This window comes from Homo sapiens, chromosome 3, assembly GCF_000001405.40.
Source record: "Homo sapiens chromosome 3, GRCh38.p14 Primary Assembly".
Taxonomy (NCBI): Eukaryota; Metazoa; Chordata; class Mammalia; order Primates; family Hominidae; genus Homo; species Homo sapiens.
Window position 1 is genome coordinate 125,799,109 of NC_000003.12, and position 24,199 is coordinate 125,823,307.

General features: G+C 42.1%; 1 protein-coding gene and 1 pseudogene across 1 annotated transcript in view; one reads left to right on the forward strand and one right to left on the reverse strand.

Moving 5' to 3' along the window:
• Window positions 1-24,199, forward strand: part of LOC112267908 (translation initiation factor IF-2-like) — a 92,138-nt gene that overhangs the window by 42,917 nt on the left and 25,022 nt on the right. The window lies entirely within an intron of this gene.
• SNRPCP11 (small nuclear ribonucleoprotein polypeptide C pseudogene 11) lies at window positions 16,408-17,179 on the reverse strand (annotated as a pseudogene).

The window sequence follows — 24,199 nt, forward strand, 5'->3', positions numbered from 1 at the left end:
CATCGCTGCATCTCTCATGCCTTGTGTTCTCCCTAATTTTCCCTTTTTAACCCACAGAGGAAGAGAGTTCCAGCATCACTTCTGGCCTCTCAAGAGTGAGTTAGGTGGCCAGGTGGGGTTATTCATGCCTGTAATCTCATAATGAATGGGTGGCCTGCCGCTCCACACCTGTGGGTATTTCTAACCAGGTGGGATGAGAGATAGAAAAGAAATAAGACACAGAGACAAAGTATAGAGAAACAACAGTGGGCCCAGGGGACCGGCGCATAGCATACCAAGGACCTGCACTGGCACCGGTCTCTGAGTTCCCTCAGTTTTTATTGATTATTATCTTCATTACTTCAGCAAAAAGGAATGTAGTAGGAGGGCAGGGTGATAATAAGGAGAAGGTCAGCAATAAACATGTGAGCAATAGAATCTATGTCATAATGAAGTTCAAGGGAAGTTACTATCACTGGACGTGCACGTAAGCCAGATTTATGTTTCTCTCCACCCAAACATCTCAGCGGAGTAAAGAATAACAAGGCAGCATTGCTGTAAACATGTCTTGCCTCCCACCTTAGGGCGGTTCTTCTCCCATCTCAGAATTGAACAAATGTACAATCGGGTTTTATACCAAGACATTCAGTTCCCAGGGACAGGCAGGAGACAGTGGCCTTCCTCTGTCTCAACTGCAAGAGGCTTTCCTCTTTGACTAATCCACCTCAGCACAGACTTACGGGTGTCGGGCTGGGGGACCGTCAGGTCTTTCTCATCCCATGAGGCCATATTTCAGACTATCACATGGGGAGAAACCCTGGACAATACCCAGCATTCAAGGGCAGAAGTCCTTGCAACTGTCTGCAGTGCATTGTGCCCCTGGTTTATTGAGACTAGAGATTGGCGATGAGTATTACCAAGTCTACTGCTTGTAAACATTTTGTTAACAAGGCACGTCCTGCACAGCCCTACATCCCTTAAACCTTGATTTCATACAACACATGTTTTTGTTAGCTCCAGGTTGGGTCAAAGTGGTTTGGTCAAACTGGCTGGGGCAAAGCCGCAGATTAAGAACATCTCAGCAAAGCAATTGTTTAAAGTACAGGTCTTTTTCAAAATGGAGTCTCTTATGTCTTCCCTTTCTATGTAGACACAGTAACAGTCTGATCTCTCTTTCTTTTCCCTGCATATCCCCCTTTTCTTTTTGACAAAACCGCCACCATCATTATGGCCCCTTCTCGCTGGTCGCTGTCTCTCTGGAGCTGCTGGATACACCTGTAAACTACCAATAGAAAGGACAGACATACAAGGATTAATACAAAATTTGCAACAGTGCAATTTCCAGTGGTTTTAACCCAAGTGACAGGGGGCAAGAGGACGGTGTGGGTGCTGCAGTACCCAGGCAGTCTCCCACCTCCTTTGTGTCTTAGTTGCTGTTTCTCATAGTTTTCGGTCTTTCTCCTCACCTGTTCACTCGCACCTTTTATCTCTTTGTCTCCTTTCTCTTACAGTCTCTCTCTTTTATACTATCTCTCTCCCCAGTCTCACTTTCTGTGTCTGTCTCTGATCTCTGTCTCTTTTTCTTTCTATTCTTCTCCCTGGCTCTCCACATGTGCCGTTTTCTTGGTGGATGGTAACTTCATTGGTTCTTCTGATATCACCATTTTGTTCACCCTGCGAGTCGACGATGCTCGATTGCGGGTTTTCTGTCTCTGCGGAGGCATTTTCATTTGCATCTCTGATGGGTTCATTGTAGAACTTCAAATGTCTAGTGGGTATCCAAACAGGAAGCTGATTTTCTCCTGGTGAAACACAAGCAAAACCTCTTCCCCATGTTATCACCTTCCCTATTTCCCATGTTTTGTTTTTGTTGTCTTTCCACCAAATCAGTTTTCCCTCATGTGGGCTGTTCTTTTTACCAGTAAAATGTTCTGCAGAGGTAGCGGTCTGATTTCTATGTATGTTTAGAAAGTTTAAAGTATAGAGTGTTAGATTAAGTTGCATCTGGGTAGTGTTATACTCCTTACTGTCTTTTTCCTTTTTTTGTTTAACCAATTGAGCTTTGAGTGTTTTAAGCAGGACAGGTAAAATCTGCGTCTGGCACAGCCAGCCAGGTCTCCTTATCCTTTGCTTCCCTTTCTGCCTGTGACTGAATGGGTATGTCAGGGTCTAGTAGGGGATCCAGGAGGAGGAAACCTCATTAACTTCTATTCTGCAGCAATTGATGTCCACCCAACTTGAACAGTGGGGGCTTATCACCTCATGTACTAAGACCAGAGATAGCTGATGCCAAGGTTGGCTAAATTAGTAGCTTGAGATGTTAGGTTTTTCATTTGAGGTTTCCATGCTGCTATTGTCTTCTGCTCTTGGTCACAGAGGCTGCCACAATCCGCATGTCAAGTCCTCATGTGACAATATCCAGAGACAGCAAGGAAGAGGTACAGTGTATTCCTGCATGTTTCTTAAAAAAATGTTTTAGATAGAGAATAATTGTACACATTTATGGGGTCCATGTGAGATTCTGGTACATGCACGCAATGTGTAATGATCAAATCAGGGTCTTTAGGATATTAATCACCTCAAACATTGATCATTTCTTTGTATTGGGAATATTTCAAATCTTACTGCTATTTAGAAATATACAATAAATCCATTTATCAGGATACAAAATCTATGTACACAAATAAGTAGCAGTGCTATACACCAACATCTACCAGGCTGAGAATCAAATCAAACCCTTTTATAATAGCTGTAAAAATAAAATACTTAGGAATATACCTAACCAAGGAGGTGAAAGACCCCTACAAGGAAAACTACAAAACACTGTTGAAAGAAATAGATGACACAAACAAATGGAAACACATTCCATGCTCATGGATGGGTAGACTCAATATTGTGAAAATGACCATACTGCCAAAAGCAGTCTACAAATTCAATGCAATTCCTATCAATATACCATCATCATTCTTTATAGAACTAGAAAAAAAAGCCAAAATTCATTTAGAACTAAAAAAGTCTGCATAGCCAAAGGAAAACTAAGCAAAAAGAACCAATCTAGAGGCATCACATTACCCAACTTCAAAGTATATTACAAGGCTATAGTCACCAAAACAGCATGGTGCTGGTATAAAAATAGGCACATGACCAATGGGACAGAGTAGGGAACCTAGAAATAAAGCCAAATACTTAACAGCCAACTGATCTTCGACAAAGTAAACAAAAACAAAGTAGGGAAAGTACACCCTATACAACAAATAGTGCTGGGATAATTGGCAAGCCACATGTAAAAGAATAAAAATGGATTCTCATCTCTCACTTTATACAAAAATCAACACAAGATGGGTCAAAGACTTAAATCTAAGGTCTGAAACCATAAAAATTCAGAAGATAACTTTGGAAAACGCTTCTACACATTGGCTTAGGCAAACAGTTCATGACCAAGAACCCAAAAGCAAATGCAACAGAAACAAAGATAAATAGATGGGACTTAATTAAACTAAAAGCCTCCTGCACAGCATAGGAAATAATCAGCAGAGTAAACAGATCACCCACAGAATGGGAGAAAATTTTCACAAACTGCATCTGACAAAGGACTAATGTCCAGAATCTACAGGGAACTCTAATCAGCAAGAAAAAAATAATCCCATCAAAAAGTGTGCCAAGGACATGAATAGACAATTCTCAAAAGAAGATATACAAATGGCCGACAAACATATGAAAAAATGCTCAACATCACTAATTACCAGGGAAATGCAAATCAAAACCACAATGCAATACCACGTGTAAAATAAACAAAAATAGGGCCGGGCGTTGTGGCTCACGCGTGTAATCCCAGCACTTTGGGAGGCGAGGTGGGCAGATCAGGAGGTCAGGAGTTTGAGACCAGCCTGACCAACATGGTGAAACCCAGTCTCTACTGAAAATACAAAAATTAGCCTGGCATGGTGGTGGTTACCTGTAATCCCAGCTACTCAGGAGGCTGAGGCAGGAGAATTGCTTGAACCCGGGAGGCAGAGGTTGCAGTGAGCTGATATTGCACCACTGTACTCCAGCCTGGGTGACAGAGCGAGACTCCATCTCAAAAAAAACAAAAACAAACAAACAAACAAAAAACAAAAAAAGCAAAAATGGATGTTGGCATGGACGTGGTGAAAGAGAACGGTTTTACACTGCTGGTGGGAATGTAAGCTAGTACCACCACTATGGAAAGCAGTATGGAGATTCCTTAAAGAACTAAAAGTACATCTACCATTTGATCCAGCAACCCCACTTCTAGGTATCTACCCAGAGGAAAAGAAGTCATTATATGAAAAAGATACTTTTGCACACATGTTTACAGTAGCAAAATTCACAGTTGCAAAACTATAGAACCAGCCCAAATGCCCATCAATCAATTAGTGGATAAAGAAAATGTGTTATATATATATATATATATATATATACACACACACACACACACACCATAGAATACTACTTAGCCTTAAAAAGGAATGAAATAATGGCATTCATAGCAACCTGGATGGAGTTGGAGACCATTATTCTAAATGAAGTAACTCAGGAATGGAAAACCAAACATTGCATGTTCTCACTCATAAGTGGGAGCTAAGCTATGATGATGCAAAGGCACAAGAATGAAACAGTGGACGTTGGGGGCTCAGGGGGAAGGTGGGAGGGGGTGAGAGAGGAAAGACTATACACTGAGTAAACTGCTTTGGTGATGGGTACGCCAAAATTTCAGAGATCACCACTAAGGAACTTCTCCATGTAACCAAATACCACCTGTTCCCTAAAAACTATTGAAATTAAAAAAAAAGAAATATACAACAAATTGTTGTAGTCACTTTCTGTGATAATGAACCCTAGATCTTATTCCTTCTATTATATATTTTTATACCCATGAATCAACCTCTTTTTATACCCATTAATCAACTTCCTATTCCCAGCCTCTGTTAACTATCATTCTACTCTTTATCTCCATGATATCAATTTTATATAGCTCCAGGGCACACAAGTCCATAACTGCGGTCTCTCTCCCTGACCCTACTGACCTGAAACATGGCCCCCGCTTTGATTTCCAGGAGCATAAACTGCTCATATAAGTGAGAACATGCAATAGTTTTCTTTCTGTGCATGGCCTAGTTCACCTAACTTTATGACCTTTAATTCCATCCATTTAGCTGAAAATGACAGGATTTCATTTTCTTTATGGCTGAATACTATTCTATTGTGCATATGTTCCCATTTTCTTTATCCATTCATCCATTGATTGATTGACACTTAGATTGACTCCATATCTTGGCTATTGTAAATAGTGCTGCAGTAAATATGGGGGTACAGATATCCCGTTGATACACTGATATCCTTTTTTTTGGATACATACCCAGGAGTGGGATTGCTGGATCATATGGTAGATCTGTTCTTAGTTTTTTGAGAAATCTCTGTACTTTTTTTCATAATGGCTGTACTAATTTACATTCCCACCAACAACATACAATAATTTTCTTTTCTTCACATGCTTTCCAGCATTTGTTGTGCTTTGTCTTTTTCATAATAGCCATTCTAACAAGTGTGAGATGATATCTCATTGTGGTTTTGATTTGCATTTCCGTGATGATTAGTGATGTTGAATATTTTCTCATAAACTTGGTGATTTGTATATCTTCTTTTGAGAAATGTCTGTTTATTTTTTGATAGTTTCTTTTGCTGTGCAGGAGCTCTTTCATTTAATTAGATCCCATTTGTCAATTTTTGCTTTTGTGGCAATTGCGTTTGGCATCTTCACCATGAACACTTTGCCCATCACTATGTACCGGATGGTATTGCCTAAGTTGTCTTCCAGCGTTATTATAGTTATGGGTTTTACATTTAAGTCTTTAAGCCATCTTGAGTTAATTTTTGAGTATGGTGTAAGGGAGGGGTGTTGTCTTTTCACTCTGTTGATTGCTTTCTTTGATATGCAGAAGGTATTTAGTTTAATATAATCCCATTTGTCTGTTTTTGTTGCTTGTACTTTTTAAGTGTTAGCCATACAATCTTTGTTCTCAAGCGTTTCTCCTGTGTTTACTTCTAGTAGTTTCATAGTTGTGGCTGTTACATTTAAGTCTTTAATTGATTTTGAGTTTATTTTTGTAAGTGATGAGAGATAAGGGTCTAGTTTTATTCTTCTGTGTTTGGATATCTAGTTTCCCTGGCACCATTTAATGAAGAGGTTGTCCTTTATTCAATGTATGTTCTTGACAGCTTCTTGAAAATCAGTTAGCTGTAAATATGTGGATTCATTTCTGGATTCTTTAGTCTGTTTCCTTTGTTTTTGTGTCTGTTTTAATACCAATACACGCTTTTTTGGTTACTATAGCTTTGCAGTGTGTGTATATATATATATACACACACATATATATATACACGTATATATACACATATAAGTATATATATACACGTATATATATACGTGTGTATATATACACTTTTTTTTTTTTTGAGACAGAGTCTTGCTCTGTCGCCCAGGCTGGAGTGCAGTGGCGCGATCTTGGCTCACTGCAAGCTCTGCCTCCCGGGTTCACGCCATTCTCCTGCCTCAGCCTCCCGAGTAGCTGGGACTACAGGCACCCACCACCACACCTGGCTAATTTTTTTTTTTTTTTTTTTTTAGTAGAGACGGGGTTTCACCATGTTAGCCAGCATGGTCTCGATCTCCTGACCTTGTGATCCACCCGCCTCGGCCTCCCAAAATGCTGGGATTACAGGCATGAGCCACCGCGCCCGGCCGCTTTGCAGTATATTTTTAAATCAGGTAGTGTGAGGCTTCTAGCTTTGTTCTTTTTGCTCAGTATTGCTTTGGCTACTTGGGGTCTTCTGTGGTTCCATATGAATTTCAGGGTTATTTTTTTTCCTGTTTCTGTGAAGAATATAATTGATAGGGATTATACTGAATCTCTAGATTGTTTCGGGTAGCATGGTCATTTTAACAGTATTAGTTATTCCAACCCACGAGCATGAGATCCCTTTCCATTTGTTCCTGTCCTTCTCAATTTATTTTATCAGTGTTCTGTGGTTTTCATTGTAGAGTTTTTTTGGTTTTTTTTTTCCCCATCCTTGGTTAAGTTTATTCCTAGGCATTTTATTTTTGTAGCTATTGTAAATAGAATTTCTTCCTTGATTTCTATTTTAGCTAGTTTGTTACTGGTATATAGAAACATTACTGATTTTTGTATGTTGATTTTGTGTCCTGAAGCTTTACTGAATTATACATCCGTTCTTTACAAAATTTTTTATTTTTTATTTTTTGAGATAGAGTCTCACTCTGTTGCTCAGGCTGGAGTGCAGTAGTGCAGTCTTGGCTCACTGCAACCTCCACCTCTCGGGTTCAAGCCATTCTCCTGCTTCAGCCTCCCAAGTAGCTGGGATTACAAGCACCTACCACCATGTCTGGCTAATTGTATTTTTATTAGAGACAGGGTTTCACCATGTTTACCAGGCTGGCCTCAAACTCCCAACCTCAGGTGATCCGCCCACCTTGGCCTCCCAAAGTGCTGGGATTACAGGCATGAGCTACCATGCCCAGCCTAATTTACCCATTTTAAGAGTTTTTTGGTGGAGTCTTTAGGTTTTTCTGTTTACAAGTATAAGATTATGTCATCTGCAAAGTGAGACAATTTGACTTCCTCTTGTCCATTTTGGATGCCTTTTATTTCTTTATCTTATCACTCTGGCTTGGATGTCCCATACTGTGTTGAATAAGAGTGGTGAAAGTGGGCATCCTTGTCTTCTTCCAGTTATTAGAGGAAAGGCTTTTCAATTTTTCCCAGTGAGTAGGAAGTTAGCTGTAGATTTGTCATATATGCCTTTTCTTATGTTGAAGTGTTCCTTCTATGCATAATTTGTTGAGAGTTTTCATCATGAAGGCATGGTAAGTTTTACCGAGTGATTTTTCTTTCTGCATCTGCTGAGATGATCAGATAGTTTTTGACTTTCATCTTGTTGATGTGATGTATCACATGTATTGATTTGTGTATGTTGAGCCATCTTTGCATTCCTGGGATAAATCCCACTTGATCATGGTATATTATCTTTTTCATTCATCATTAGATTTGGCTTGGTAGTATTATGCTGAGAATTTTTCCATTTGTGTTCATTAGGAATATTGGCCTGTAGTTTTCTCTTTTTGTTGTGTCCTTGTCTTCATTGGATATCAAGGTAATGCTGGCCTTATACAATGAGTTAGGAAGAATTCCCTCCTCTTCAATTTTTGGGAATAGTTTGAGAAGTATTGGTGTTTGTTTTTCTTTATAAATTGGGTAGAAATCAGCATAAAAGCCTAGTCTAGGGCTTTTCTCTTTTGGGAGACTTTTTGTTACTGATTCAAACCTGCTATTCATTTTGTGTCATTTCAGGTTTTCTGTTTCTTCCTAGTTCAATCTTGGTAGGCTGTGTATGTCTGGGAATTTATCCCTTTCCTCTAGGTTTTCCAATTTGTTAGCATATGGTTGTTCATAATAGCCTCTAATGATCCTTTTTATTTCTTTAGTAACAGTTGTAATGTCTCATTTTTCATTTCTGATTGCATTTATTTAGGTCTCCTTTTTTGTTTTTGTTTGTTTGTTTGTTTGTTTGTTTTGGTTAGCCTCACTAGTGGTTTTTCAATTTTGTTTAACTTTTCAAAAAACCAACTTTTATCTTGTTGATTCTTTGCATTTCTATTTTGTCTCTGTTGCATTTGGTTCTGCTATGTTATTTATTATTTTTTCTTTCTACTAATTTTGTGTTTGGTTTGTTCTTGCTATTTGAGTTCCTTGAGGTTCATCATTAGGTTGTTTATTTGAAATCTTTCTACTTTCTTGGTGTAGGCATTTATTGCTATAAACTTTCCTTGTAGTACTGCTTTTGCTGTATCCCATAGATTTTGCATGATGTGTTTCCATTTTCTGTTTAAAAAAATTTTTTGATATCCATCTTAATTTCTTCATCGATCCAATGATCATTCAATAGCACGTTTAATGTCCATGTATTTGTACAGTTTCCAAATTTCTTCTTCTTATTGATTTCAAGTTTTATTCCATTGTGGTCTGAGAAGATACTTGATATGATTTTAATTTTTAAAATTTTGTTGAGCCTTGTTTTGTGTCCTAACATATGGTCTTTCCTGGAGAATGTTCCATGTGTTGATGAGATGATTGTATATTCTGCTGCCGCTGGATGAAATATTCTGAAAATATCTGTTAGGTCCATTTGGTCTAACGTGCAGCTTAAATCTGAGGTTTCTTTGTTGATTTTATGTCTAGATGAACTGTCCAATGCTGAGAGTAGGATATTGAAGTTCTCAACTATCATTGTATTGGACTCTATCTTTCCCTGTAGATTTAATAATATTTGCTATGTGTGTCTGGATGTGCTTGTGTTGGTTGCATGCATATTTAGAATTGTTATACTTTGTTGCAGAATTGATCCCTTTATTACCATATAATGACCTTCTTTGTCCTTTTTACAGTTTTTAACTTAAAGTCTGTTTTATCTGATGTAAGTTTAGCTACTCCTGGTTACTTTTGATTTCTGTTTGTGTGGTATATCTTTTTCAATCCCTTCACTTTCAGTCTGTGTGTGTCTTTACAAGTGAAGTGAGTTTCTTGTAGACGTTGTTGGGTCATTTTTTATCCATTAAGCCTCTCTCTATCTTTTAGGTAGGTAATTTAACCCATATTCAAAGTGATTATTGATAGGTGAAGACTTATTCCTGTCAATTTGTTCATTGTTTTCTGGTTATTTTGTATATCCTTTTGATATGGTTTGGCTGTGTCCCCACTCAGATCTCATCTTGAATTCCCATGTGTTGTGGGAGGGACCCAGTGGGAAGTAGTTGAATCACGGAGGCAGGTATTTCCCATGCTATTCTTTTGATAGTGAATAAGTCTCGTGAGATCTGATGGTTTTAAAAGGAGGAGTTTCCCTGCTCAAGCTCTCTCTTTGCCTGCTGCCATCCCTGTAAGATGTGACTTGCCTCTCCTTGACTTCTGCAATGATTTTGAAGCCTCCCCAGCAATGTAGAACCGTAAGTCCATTAAACCTCTTCCTTTTGTAAATTTCCCAGTCTTGAATGTGTCTTTATCAGCTGTGTGAAAATGGACTAATACAGTAAATTAGTACCAGAAGTGGGATGTTGCTAAAAGATACCTGAATATGTGGAAGTGACTTTGGAACTGGGAAACAGGCAGAGGTTGGAACAGTTTGGAGGGCTCAGAAGGAGACAGGAAAATGTGGGAAAATTTGGAAGAGATTTCCTAGAGACTTGCCCAAAATGCTGATGGTTATATGGACAATAAAGTCTAGGCCAAGGTTGTCTCAGATGGAAATGAGGAACTTGTCAGGAACTGGCACAAAGGTGACTCCTGTTATGTTTTAGCAAAGAGACTGGTGGCTTTTTGCCCCTGCTGTAGAGATTTGTGGAATTTTGAACTTGAGAGAGATGATTTAGGGTATCTGGTAGAAGAAATTTCTAAGCAGCAAAGCATTCAAGAGATGACTTGGGTGCTGTTAAAGGCCCTCAGTTTTATAAGGGAAGCAGAGCATGAAAGTTTGGAAAATTTGCAGCCTGAAAATGCAATTGAAAAGAAAATCCCATTTTCTCAAGAAAAATTCGATCTGGCTGCAGAAATTTGTTTACGTAAGGAGGAGTCAAATGTGAATCCCCAAGACAATGGGGAAAATGTCTCCATGGCATGTCATAGATCTTCATGGCAGCCCCTCCCATCAAAGGCCCAGAGGAAGAATAGATGGTTTTGTGGGCTGGACCCAGGGCCCCCCTGCTGTGAGCAGCCTAGGGTTCCTGAGTCCTAGCCACTCCAGCTGCAGCTAAAAGGAGCCAAGGTACAACATGGGCTGTGGCTTCAGAGGGTGCAAGCCCCAAGCCTTAGCGGCTTCCACATAGTGTTGAGCCTGTGGGTGCACAGAAGTCAAAAATTGAGGTTTGGGAACCACTGCCTAGATATCAGAAGATGTATGGAAATGCCTAGACGTCCAGGCAGGAGTTTGCTGCAGGGACAGGGCACTCATGGAGAACCTCTACTAGGGCAGTGCAGAAGGGAAATGTGGGGTCGGAGCCCCCACATAGAGTCCCTACTGCAGCGCCACCTAGTGGAGATGTGAGAAGAGGGCCACCATCCTCCAGACCGCAGAATGGTGGATTCACTGACAGCTTGCACTGTGTGCCTGGAAAAGCTGCAGACACTCAATGCCAACCCATGAAAGGAGGCAGGAGGGGGTTTATACCCTACAAAGCCACAGGAGTGGGGCTGTGGCCTTTTTTCTCCCAAGGCCATGGGAGCCCACCTCTTACATCAGCATGACCTGCATGTGAGACATGGAGTCAAAGAAGATCATTTTTGAGCTTTGAGATTTGACTGCCCTACTGGATTTTGGGCTTGCATGGGGCCTGTAGCCGCTTTGTTTTGGCAATTTTCTCCCATTTGGAATGACTGTGTTTACCCAATGCGTATACCCCCATTGTATCCAGGAAGTAACTAACTTGTTTTTGATTTTACATGCTCATAGGCAGAAGGGATTTGCCTTGTCTCACATGAGACTTTGGACTGTGGACTTTTGAGTTAATGCTGAACTTAGTTAAGAGTTTGGGGGACTGTTGGGAAGGCATGATTAGTTTTGAAATGTGAGGATATGAGATTAGGGAAGGGTCAGGGACAGAATGATATGGTTTGGTTGTGTCCCCACCCAAATCTCATCTTGAATTCCCACATGTTGTGGGAGGGACCTGGTGGGAAGCAATTGAGTCATGGGGGCAGGTCTTTCCCATGCTGTTCTCATGATAGTGAATACATCTCACAAGGTCTGATGGTTTTAAAGAGGGTAGTTTCCCTGCAGAAGCTCTCTCTTTGCCTGCTGCCATCCATGTGAGACATGACTTGCTTCTTCTTGCCTTCCAACTTGATTGTGAGGTTTCCTCAGCTATGTGGAAGTGTAAGTCCATTAAACCTCTTTATTTTGTAAATTGCCCAGTCTCAGTCAGGTATGTCTTTATCAGCAGTGTGAAAACAGACTAATACACCTTTGTTCTTTTTTTCTCTCATTATTTATGGTTGCAGTTCGGTGGTTTTCTGTAGTGGTGTTGTTTGAATCCTTTCTTCTTTGTGTGTCTGCTCTGCCAGTGAATTTTATACTTTCATGTATTTTCCTGATGGTAGATATTGTTCTCTTGCTTCCCAATGTAGGACTCCCTTAAGCATTTCTTCTAGGACCACAACAAACAAGACCCAAACAAACAGTCTTTTTCTTATCTGGGAAATACTCTTTTTCTCTTTTATTTATGTATTTCTTTTTTTAGCAATGGAGTCTCACTCTGTCACCCAGGCTGGAGTACAGTCGCATGATCATAGCTCACTGCAGCCTTGAACTCCTGGGCTCAAATAATCCTCCTGCCTCAGCCTTCTGAGTCTCTGGAATTGCAGATGTGAGCCACTGTGCCAGGCTCCTTCATTTGTGAAGGATATCTTTGCTGGGTATAGTATTTTTGGCTTACATTTTTTTTTTCTTTTTTTTACTTGTAGTATACATCCCCTTTTCTCCTAGCCTGCAAGGTTTCTGCTGAGAAATCCCGTTAGCCTGATGGAGATTCTAAGTGACTTCATGCTTTTCTCTTGCTGTTTTCAGCATTTTCTCTTTGTCTTTTGACAATTTTACCATAATGTGCCTTGGAGAAGATCTCTTTGAGTTGTATTTATTTGGTAATCTTTGAGCTTCCTGTATTTGGAAGCTTTCAGGAAGTTTTCAGTTATTATTTTATTAAATGGGTTTTCTATGCCTTTACCCATCTCGTCTCCATCCAGAACTCCCAGAATTTCAGTTTTTGGTCACATATGTGTCCCATATATCATGTAGCCTTCCTTCATTCTTTTTTCTTTCTTTTTGTCTGACTGGATTATTTTAAAAGACTAGGCTTCAGGTTCAGAAATTCTTTGTTTTGCTTGATCTAGTCTATTGTTAAAGCTGTCAATTATCTTTTGTATTTCTTTCAATGATTTATTCTTTTCCAGGATTTGTGTTTGGTTCTTTGTTATGCTGTCTATCTCTGTTGAATTTCTCATTCAGATCATGAATTGTTTTCCTGACTTTTTATATTCATTATCTGTGTTCTCTTGTATCTCCCTGACTTTCTTTAATAACATTATTTTGAATTTTTCTCAGTCATTTCATAGATTTTCTTTTCTTTGGAATCTGTTGCTGGAGAATTATTGTGCTTCTTTGGAGATGTTATGTTTCCTTTTTCATCTTTCTTGCATCCTTATGTGACTATCTGTGCCTTTGACATAACAGTCACTTCTTCCAATTTTATGGATTGGCTTTTATATGGGAAAACCTTTTCTTATAGCTGTAGCTACAGTATTCATTGGATATCACACTTTGGCTTTGATTCTGGGTGGGTACAGTGGCATAGTCTGCATATGATTTCTTCAGCTGTAATTGGCATGAGTGGTGTCTGTGAGTCATTCAGTGGCTTAGACTGCAGTTTTGTGTTTTTTTTTTTTTTTTTTTGTGTGTGGTTGTTGAGATGGAGTCTAGCTCTGTCACCAGGCTGGAGTTCAGTGACACAATCTCAGCTCACTGCAACCTCTGCCTCCTGGGTTCAAGTGATTCTCCTGCCTCAGCCTCCTGAGTAGCTGGGACTACAGGCATGTGCAACCATGCCCAGCTAATTTTTGTATTTTTAGTAGAGACGGGGTTTCACCATGTTGGCCAGGCTGGTCTCAAACTCCTGACCTCACGATCTACCCACCTCGGCCTCTCAAAGTGCTGGGATTACAGGCGTGTGCCACCACACCTGGCCAGACTGCAGTTGTTATTTGAGGCTGTGATGAGGCTTTGCTGAGGATGGGGATGCCAGGAAGTCTTGTCCTTCAGCATCAGTGGTAGTGGTGGTGGACCAGGTTTGTCAATACTAGGGACCATGGGCAGTGTATATGGGCACTGATGATAGCCTGTCTACGTGGGCCAATCCTTGGGCCCCCAGGTGGCTTCTTTGGTTGCTGGCAGTGGCAGCACTGGGCCAGGCGGGCAGGTGCGCCACTGGGCTCCTGGGTGGCGTGTGTGGCAGTCTGATCTATAGTTCTCCAGGTGATGTGTGCAGGTTCTGGTGGTGGGTAGACAGGTGTTTACTCAGGCCTCTCAGTAGTAAGTGTGAGCGCTAGCTCTGGAGGCAGGTGAGTCAATCTCTAGGCCCCCAGATGGTACACTCAGGCCTCAGCATATTCCTATGCATTTCTAGATAAAAGTATTTTTCAGAAAACCTGAGCATATGTCCTATTAATACAAACTGCCCTCATCAGCTCTGCATGAGAAGAAGGGGGAATTCCCTCAGTAGAACTGTCAGAATGGAATCACAGACTTGTTTTGAGCCAGTCACTGGTAAGGGGGATTAGGCTAAAATGATAAGCTCAGAATCTAAACCTTAGACTAGGGAATGGCAAACTTTTTCCATAAAGAGGCAAACGGTAATATTTTAGGCTTTTGGTCTAGATAACCTCTGTTGCAGTGACGCAGTGGTGCCATCATAGCCTAAAAGCATATGTAGACAAGGCATAAATGAATGGACCTGGGTTTATTCCAGTAAAACTTAATTTATACAAACAGTCAGAGGGCCAGATTTGGCCCTTGGTCTATAGTTTGCCAACCCTGTTTAGAACAGTCACGATTTATTCCCTGGGGCTGGGCCAACTTTTTCTTAAAAAAAAAAAAAAAAAGAAAGCAACCCACTGTCAGAATAAAATAGGGTTTCTATTTAAAAAGAAGAAGAGGCTGGGTGTGGTGGCTCATGCCTATAATCCTAGCACTTTGGGAGGATGAGGCAGGAGGACTGCTTGAGGCCAGGAGTTTGAAACCAACTTGGGCAATATAGTGAGACCCTGTCTCTGCAAATAATAAAAAAATTAGCCAGGCATGGTGGCACATGTCTGTAGTCTTAGCTAGACAGGAGGCTGAAGGGGAAGATCACTTGAGCCCAGGATTTTGAGGTTACAGTGGCAAACTGTTTGCCTCTGACTGTACCACTTCTACTCTAGCCTAGGCAAAGGGGGAGAACCCAGAAACAAACAAACAAACAAAAAGGTTGGTTGGGGAGGTTGGAGAAGAAAGTATTTCTGAATTTCTGGGTAGGTTACTGGTAGTGTCAGGCCAAACTAGCTCTACAGTCGTATTCATTATAAATAAAGGCAACTAGAAGATCTCCAATTAGCTATTAAAAATTGGTTAAAATCTACAGAGATAAAGGATGGTGACCCTTGTATCAGTTAGTTGTTGTCACAAAATGCTGCATAACAAGTCACTCCAAATCTCAGTGGCTTAATACAACAATTGTTTATTTTCATGGATCTATGGGTCAGCTGAGGATTGGTTAATCTGGCATGAGCGTGTCTGGGAAGCTTGACTTTGCTCTTGGTGTCTCTTATCTTCTGCTGGAAGCAGCAGTCTGGCCTGGGCTTGTTCTTTTGGTGATAGCAGGAGTGAGTGAGCACAAATGAATGCACACTTTCCAAGTTTTTGGTCATGTAGATTAATATTCCAGTGGCCAAAGCTAGACATGTGACTAAATGCAACATTAGGGGCTGGAGAAATATACTCCAATTCTTCAGTGGGAGGAGCTGCAGAGACAAATGGCAGAGTCTTGGTTACAGGGAGGACATGGATCCATTAATGTACCTTAATCAACGGCAACACTCTAACCACCAATACAATTAAATAAGTATTTGTTGAATGCACTTGTGCCTGAATCCTTCTGGCTGCAGCCCAGGCAATGGGGGCCTGACTGGGGAGGGACCATAGCAGGGACTCGATGTCCTGCAGGTCTGCATGTAATTGTGTACGGCCGACTCCACATTGGTCATGGCTGACTTGCTTTGTCCTGCGTCCCCAAGGGGCAACGATTGGCTGATTTTATTTCTGAACAATTTTGACAAAGTTGTTTTCAGGAGCCCAGGAAGCAAATCAGTTGTAGATTTGAATTTTGCAGGGGGTCAGAATTGTTGAATATATGTATAGTCTTTTACATGCTGATAATTATTTCCATACCACAAAGAAGGCCGGCTATTAGGAAGCTGCTGTTCAATTCCTTTGCCCCGTGAACTCATGAGCTGTGTCTATGTGGGGGGCACTCACTTGTTAGAGCTGTTTCCCTTCATAATAATATCAGCCAACATTCTAAATAAATGCAGGAAATTAAATAGTCTTTCCCAGACAGGTACTTTGCCCTTCTAAAGTGAATTACACATTGTAAAATAAAACACAGTCACTTTAAAAAAACAAAAGGTCTTTGGGTCAGGTTGGTCTGGCTTCAGCAAAGATAATCTTTGCCTCCAGAGTAGAAGATCCTTGGAATCCATGGTATTGCATATGGCAGCCCCACATCTTGTTTCCTTTTCTTTTTTTTTTTGTTTTTAACTAAAAGAATTGACAATTTTATTTTCACATTTCCCAATACAAATGAAAACTGCATCTTTTTTGGTCCCACTTCTCCCCTCCAAAACTATTCTCTTTGATAGGGCAAGGGGGCAAGTCTTCCTTATGCTGTTAAGAAAACCCAGCATCACAGCCCATGATCTCCTGGTGAAGGGAGCAGGTAAATATAAAGTCATATAGGCCGGGCGCAGCTGCTCGCGCCTGTAATCCCAGCACTTTAGGAGGCTGAGGCAAGCAGGTCATGAGGTCAGGAGATTGAGACCATCCTGGCCAACATGGTGAAACCCTGTCTCTACTAAAATAAAAAAAATTAGCCAGGCATGGTGCGCATGCCTGTAGTCCCATCTACTCAGGAAGCTAAGGCAGGGGAATCACTTGAATCCAGGAAGTGGAGGTTGCAGTGAGCTGAGATCGTGCCACTGCTCTCCAGCCTGGGCGACAGAGGAAGACTCTGTCTCAAAAACAAAACAAAAGAAAAAACACACAACAACAACAACAAAAAAACAACACTGATGTAATGAGGCCTCCCCTCTATCCTTATCTGTCTGGTCAAGTCATTCTGGGCTAACTGGGCACCATCATGAGATGGGCAAGAGGTCTCATCATTGGGCACCCAGGCATCATGGGCATGTGGCCTCCCATGGCAGCCTCATTCCAGGAGCAGGTCCCACTGGCATCATTCCAGGAGGAGGAGGGCCCATCATTGGCATCATGGGAGGGCCTCCCATATGGGGTGCTGCCATCATACTGAGATGTGTGAGAAGTGTCAGATACACATTAGATTGTGAGGCCTTAATATAAAAAGAAAACATTGTGTTAATGTTAAAATAGTTTATACATGTAGACCTGGTATTTTGGATAGATTTATTTAAATCTGTGATATTATTCCAATTACCTTCACTTCTTTTGTTTTACTTTTTAAAATATGGTTACTACAAAATGCAAAAGTAAATATGTGGCTTGCATCCTATTTCATCACATTTAGTGTGGGCCCTGAGGGTCTAGGGGAGTTATGAGCCTTAAGTTGAGGGTGACCCAGATCAACGTGAATTGCTCTGAAAGAGAAGCAAAGGGCATAAAGAGAACGTATAAATGGAGAGAGGGAGCTCAGTCTCGCAGGGTCAGGAAAGGCTTTCTTTCTTACAGTCTGGCATTTCTTCAAAAGCTTAAACACAGAGTTCTATGACCCAGCACTTCCACTCCAGTTTATGAAAGAAATGAAAATATATGTCTATGCAGAAACTTGTACACAAATGCTCATAGCAGCATTATTCACAATAACGCCAAAGTGAAAACAACACAAATGCTTGTCTACTGATGAGTGGAGAAGTAGAACATGGTTTGACTATGCAATGGAATATTATTCAGTCATCAAAAGGAATGAAGTACTAACACGTGCTACAACAAGGATGAACCATGAGAATATTATGCTAAGTGGAAGAAACCAGTCACTAAATGTCACATATTATAAGATTTCATTTATATGAAATGTCCAGCACACGCAAATCTATGAAGACAGAAACCCTGTCTCTACTAAAAATATAAAATTAGATGGGTGTGGTGGCACAAGCCTGTAATCCCAGCTACTTGGGAGGCAGGAGAATTGCTTGAACCCAGGAGGCAGAGGTTGCAGTGAGCCGAGATTGTGCCACTGCACTCCAGCCTGTGACAGAGACTCTATCTCAAAAAAAGTAGATTGTCAGGGCTTAGTGGGAGGAGGAAATGGCAGGTACCTGCTCATGGATACAGGGTTTCTTTTTGGGGTGATGAAAATGTTTTAAAATTGATCATAATGGTGGTTGCCGAGCTCTGTGAATGCACTGAAACCATTGATTTGTTCACTTTAAATGGGCAAATCATACAGTACCCGAATTATATTTTAATAGTTATATTAAAAAAGTAAAATCTTCCTTGAAGAGATGACACTTAAGGAGAGGCGTAGGGGGTGGGATGAGTTCACTAGGCAGAAAATGAGGAACAGCATTTCAGGGTGAGGAACAGCATAGTGAAGTCCCTGAGGTTGATAGGCATAGAGCAGATTTAAGGGACTTTTAATTTTTTTTTTTTTTTTGAGACGGAGTTTCGCTCTTGACGCCCAGGCTGGAGTGGAGTGGTGTGATCTTGGCTCACTGCAACTTCTGCCTCCTGAGTTCAAGCGATTTTCCTGTCTCAGTCTCCCGAGTAGCTGGGATTACAGGCGCCCTCCACCACACCTAGCTAATTTTTGGATATTTAGTAGAGATGGGGTTTCACCATGTTGACCAGGCTGGTCTTGAACTCCTGATCTCAGGTGATGCACCCGCCTCAGCTTCCCAAAGTGCTGGGATTACAGGCATGAGCCACTGCGCTCAGCCAGATTTAAGGTACTTTCAAGAAGTTTGTGTGGTTGAAGCCTGCAGGGCAAGCGAGAGAATCAGGAAATGAGGCTGGAGAAAGAGAGGGGCTAGGTCATGGAGGATCTCACATTAGGGTGTTGAAACTTCATAGGAGTGGTCCCACCTTGGGCATCCCACGTAACTACTCTGTGTCCCAGCTTCCCCACTGGTGAAATAAAGGGCTGATGTAGGGATGGACCGAGATAGTGTGTGCTCAGTAAAGGTGACCTTTTATCATTGTTTTGTTTTGTTTTGTTTTGAGACGGAGTCTCACTCTGTCGCCTAGGCTGGAGTGCAGTGGCGCGATCTCGGCTCACTGCAACCTCCGCCTCCCGGGTTCACGCCATTCTCCTGCCTCAGAATCCCGAGTAGCTGGGACTACAGGCGCCCGCCACCACGCCCGGCTAATTTTTTGGTATTTTTAGTAGAGACGGGCTTCACCATGTTAGCGAGAATGGTCTGGATCTCCTAACGTCGTGATCCACCCGCCTCGGCCTCCCAAAGTGCTGGGATTACGGGCATGTGCCACTGCGCCTGGCCAAGCTTTTATCATTGTTAACCCACAGAGCAGTGGGAGCCATTGAAAGTGAGTGATCTGTTTAGATGCACCTTCTGAAGTGATTGCTTTGGTCCCTGTGAGGAGTGCAGAATGTCACAGGGCCAGGGGAAAACAGAGGCCAGTCAGGAGGCATTTGCAGTCAGACAGCTGGAGGTGATGGTGGCTTGGTTTATGGTGGTGTCAGGAGAGTGGCTGAGCAGTGAACGGATCTGAGAAAGATTTAGGAGGTAAAACCCACGTGACTTGGTCACTGAATGTGGGCTGGGTGGGCTGGAGGGAAGGTAAGAAAGAATGAGAAGAAAAACATACGCAGGTGGGCCCTCCAGCCTAAGGTTACTTGAGGTCCTTTGTGAAGAGGAATGTTTGTGTTTATGATGAAGATGTCTAGACTTTGAAAGGCCATTTGCAGTACTTTTTTTTTTTTTTTTTTTTACCAGCCAACAACTCCTCCTTCCCTATGCCCTAAACATATGAATTTTTTTTGCCCTAATTTATCACAGAGAGATGGACGTTCATTTGCTTTAATGAGAAATGCGGAATGCCACTAAGAAAGCATATTAAATTAATCTAGCTTGTTGTGAGGGAGTTAAATCTGTTTAGATGTGCACCAGTGTGACTATAATAGTTTGGTCTCAACCCATTTCTGGCCTGCGGCTGCAGGAGGTTGACTCCCAGCTTGCTTTCATTTGAAAGATCCCAGCAACAAACACATTTGGCATTTCCAGCCAAACCCACTTTGTGCAGCGAAGGAAAAGTTGAGGCGTGCCTCTGTTGTTTTCCCCCAAATCATTAGGCAGAAATGTGGCTGGGAGCTTCATTGCTGATTTTTTCAGTTTTAATATTGCTGTGGAAAGCCTGTACCAACACTCAGCCATGTTATTCATCCACAGCTCCAGTCTGGGCTGTGATTTGTTTTTCCTTTGAGTGACACAACCTTATTTTCCATTAAGACTCAATGCAAATAGACACTCATGCAACATCACCATCACTCCCCCTGCTTGGCAGAGGGAAGTCAATGGAGTGATTCTAGTTTGGTGTTCATATCGGAGGGTTTTATTTGTTTATTAATTTTGAGACGGAATCTGTCTCTGTCACTAGGCTGGAGTGCAGTGGCGCGATCTCGACTCACTGCAACTTCTGACTCCCTGGTTCAAGCGATTCTCCTGCCTCAGCCTCCTGAGTAGCTGGGCTTACAGGCATGTGATACCATGCCCGGCTAATTTTTTGTATTTTTAGTGGAGACGGAGTTTCACCGTGTTAGCCAGGTTGGTCTTGATCTCCTGACCTCGTGATCCGTCCACCTCGGCCTCCCAAAGTGCTAGGATTACAGGTGTGAGCCACTGCGCCTGGCCTGGAGTCGTTTTTAAAAACACATTTCTCTCAAATTAACTCCGGGGTGTCCCACTGTGACTTGGGCAAAGGTTTGGATTTTCTGGAGGTGGAAAGTCAAACTTCAAATAGAATTTGGAGGCTGGACACTGTGGCTCATGCCTGTAATCCCAGTACTTTGGGAGGCTGAGGTGGGTGGATCATTTGAGGCCAGAAATTTGAGACCAATCTGGGCAACATGACGAGACCGTGTTTCTACTAAAAATATAAAAATTAGCTAGGCGTGGTGGTACATGCCTGTAATCCCAGCCACTTAGGAGGCTGAGGCAGGAATTATCGCTTGAACCTGGGAGGCAGAGGTGTCCTGTGTCCACACCCCATGAGGTGTATCAGCTGACTGAAGATAAAATCGGTCACGCTGTGTTGAGATTGGGGTTGCTGTTATCATACCTCATCCCCACCCCTGCTAGGCATCCACAAACAGTCATCTTCAATGAGACATCCCTCCTGCCCCTGGCTGCCTTATTTCATCTGCACCCAACCATATCCATTGCTTGTCAGTGGGTCTCAACCTTGGCTGCACCTTGGAATCTCCTGGGGAGATGAGACAATACCAAGGCTCTCTCTCACTCAGCATGATGTTTCCAAGGTCCATCCACATGTAGTAGGCACCAATATTTCCACTGTATGGATACAGCACATTTTGTTTATTCATTCATCAACCAAATTGCCAGCTTGGTTGTTGTTACCTTTTGCTTATTATATATATTACATGATTCCATTTATGTGAAAGGTCCAGAATAGTCAAATCTATAGAGGCAGAAAGCAGGTAAGTGGTTGCCAGGAGCTGGGGGAAAGGGGAGGGGATGGAGAGTGCTTGATGGATACAGGGTTATTTTTTGGGGGGGCAGAGGGTGTTAATGAAAATGTTTTGGAACTAGACAGAGATGATGATTGCTTAACGTTGTGAATGTATTTAATGATACTGAAGTGTATGGTTTCATACAGGGACTTGTATGTTATGTGAATTTTGCCTCATTAAAAAAATACTGCTAGGAGCAATGGCTCATGCCTGTAATCCCAGCACTTGGGAGGCCAAGGCGGGAGGATCACGTGAGGCTAGGAGTTTGAGACCTGCCTGGCCAACATGGTGAAACCCTATCTCTATTAAAAATACAAAAATTAGCCAGGCGTGGAGGTGCATGCCTATAATCCCAGCTACTCGGAAGGCTGAGGTAGGAAAATGCGTTGAACCCAGGAGGCAGAGTTTGCAGTGAGCTGAGATCGCACCACTGCATTCCAGCCTGCATGACAAGATTCCATCTCAAAAACACACACACACACACACACACACACACACACAAAATGCTGATGCCCATGTTTCATCCCCAGGAGATTCTGTAATAATTGATCTGGGATGCAGAGCCTGGGCACTGGGTTTTTAAAATCTCCCGAGCTGATTCTGACGTGCAGCTGTGGTTGAGAATCTCCTTCTGGAATGAACTTGTTCATGTTTTACTTGTATTGTTTTCTAGCCTGGCTTTGCCTTTCTGTTTCCCTTCACATCTTTGGGGGTAATTTTTATAATGCAGTCTAACAACCAGCTGCCTCAAAATGCACTGGGATCCCTCGTAACCAGGTAGCTCCGCATCTCCAACTCCGACCTGCCAAGTCGGAATCTTGTGGGTGGGGCCAAGGACTGTACATATTGAAACAGGCAGTGACCTGGGAACTATTTCTGAACACCCCTAGGTTTCCCCTGTGTTTGCCCTTTCCTTTCACATTTGGACCCCTTTGTGTGCTGACCACTGGGCCGTCGCGCATGGACATAGCATAAAAAAGACAGGCCAGGTGCAGTGGCTCACGCCTGTAATCCCAGCACTTTGGGAGGCTGAGGTAGGCAGATCACTTGAGGCCAGGAGTTCAAGATCTGCCTGGCCAACATGACAAAACCCCATCTCTACCAAAAATATGAAATTAGCTGGGTGTGGTGATGCACGCCTTTGATCCCAGCTACTCAGGAGGCTGAGGCTGGAGAATCCCTTGAGCCCAGGAGGGAGAGACTGCAGTGAGCCGAGATCACACCATTGCACTCCAGCCTGGGTGACAGAGTGAGACTCTTAAAAAAAAAAAAAAAGACAGAGATGGTCCTTCCTTTATGGAGCTCTCAGTAAAACAAGAAAGTTCACGATGTCCTGGCATTTGTCAGAAATACATTTGGTATATGTAGCTGGGGTCACATGCTTGACATGCCTATTGAAAGCTTCTGGGTAGGAAGAGAACAATCATCACAGCATCACAGCCTGGCATAACTGTCTCCCAGGACAGGTCTCCCTGGGGAGACTGAGACCACAACTCTGAAATCAGAGCTCAAATCCAGGTTCTACATTTCCCTCAGAAATGTACATGATGTAAGACAGTTTTTATATTAGTTATCTGTTGCTGTGCAACAATATTACTGCAAACTTTGTGGCTTGAGACAGCACACAGTTATCACTGCGTGGTTTCTGTGGGTCAGGAAACCAGGCGTGACTCAGCTGGGTTCAGTGCAAGGCTGCAGCCATAGTGTCAGCCAGGGCTCGGTTCTCATCTGGAGGCTTGACTGGTGATTGATCTGCTTCCCGGCTCATCTGGTTGTTGGCAGAATTCAGTTCCTTGCAGGTTGACTCAGGGCCCCAGTTTCTTGTTTCCCTCAGCTTCTTGCCACGTGGGCCTCTCCATCTGGCCACTCATGACATGGCAGCTCACATCTTCAAAGCCAGCAAGACAGCCTCCTAGCAAGACAACTTCACATCCTATCTAACATAATCACTACATCCCATCACCTCTGCCATATTCTCTTGGTTATAAGAAAGTCATAGGTCCCTTTGTCAGATGAGTAGATTGCAAAAATTTTCTCCCATTCTGTAGGTTGCCTGTTCACTCTGATGGTAGTTTCTTTTGCTGTGCAGAAGCTCTTGAGTTTAATTAGATCCCATTAGTCAATTTTTGCTTTTGTTGCCATTGCTTTTGGTGTTTTAGACATGAAGTCCTTGCCCATGCCTATGCCCTGAATTGTATTGTCTAGGTTTTCTTCTAAGGTTTTTATGGTTTTATGTCTAAAATTTAAATCTTTAATCCACCTTGAATTAACTTTAGTATAAGATGTAAGGAAGGGATCCAGTTTCAGCTTTCTCCATATGGCTAGCCAGTTTTCCCAGCACCATTTATTAAATAGGGAATCCTTTCCCCATTGCTTGTTTTTCTCAGGTTTGTCAAAGATCAGATAGTTGTAGATGTGTGGCATTATTTCTGAGGGCTCTGTTCTGTTCCATTGGTCTATATCTCTGTTTTGGTACGAGTACCATGCTGTTTTGGTTACTGTAGCCTTGTAGTATAGTTTGAAGTCAGGTAGCATGATGCCTCCAGCTTTGTTCTTTTGGCTTAGGATTGCCTTGGCGATGCGGGCTCTTTTTTGGTTCCATATGAACTTTAAAGCCGTTTTTTCCAATTCTGTGAAGAAAGT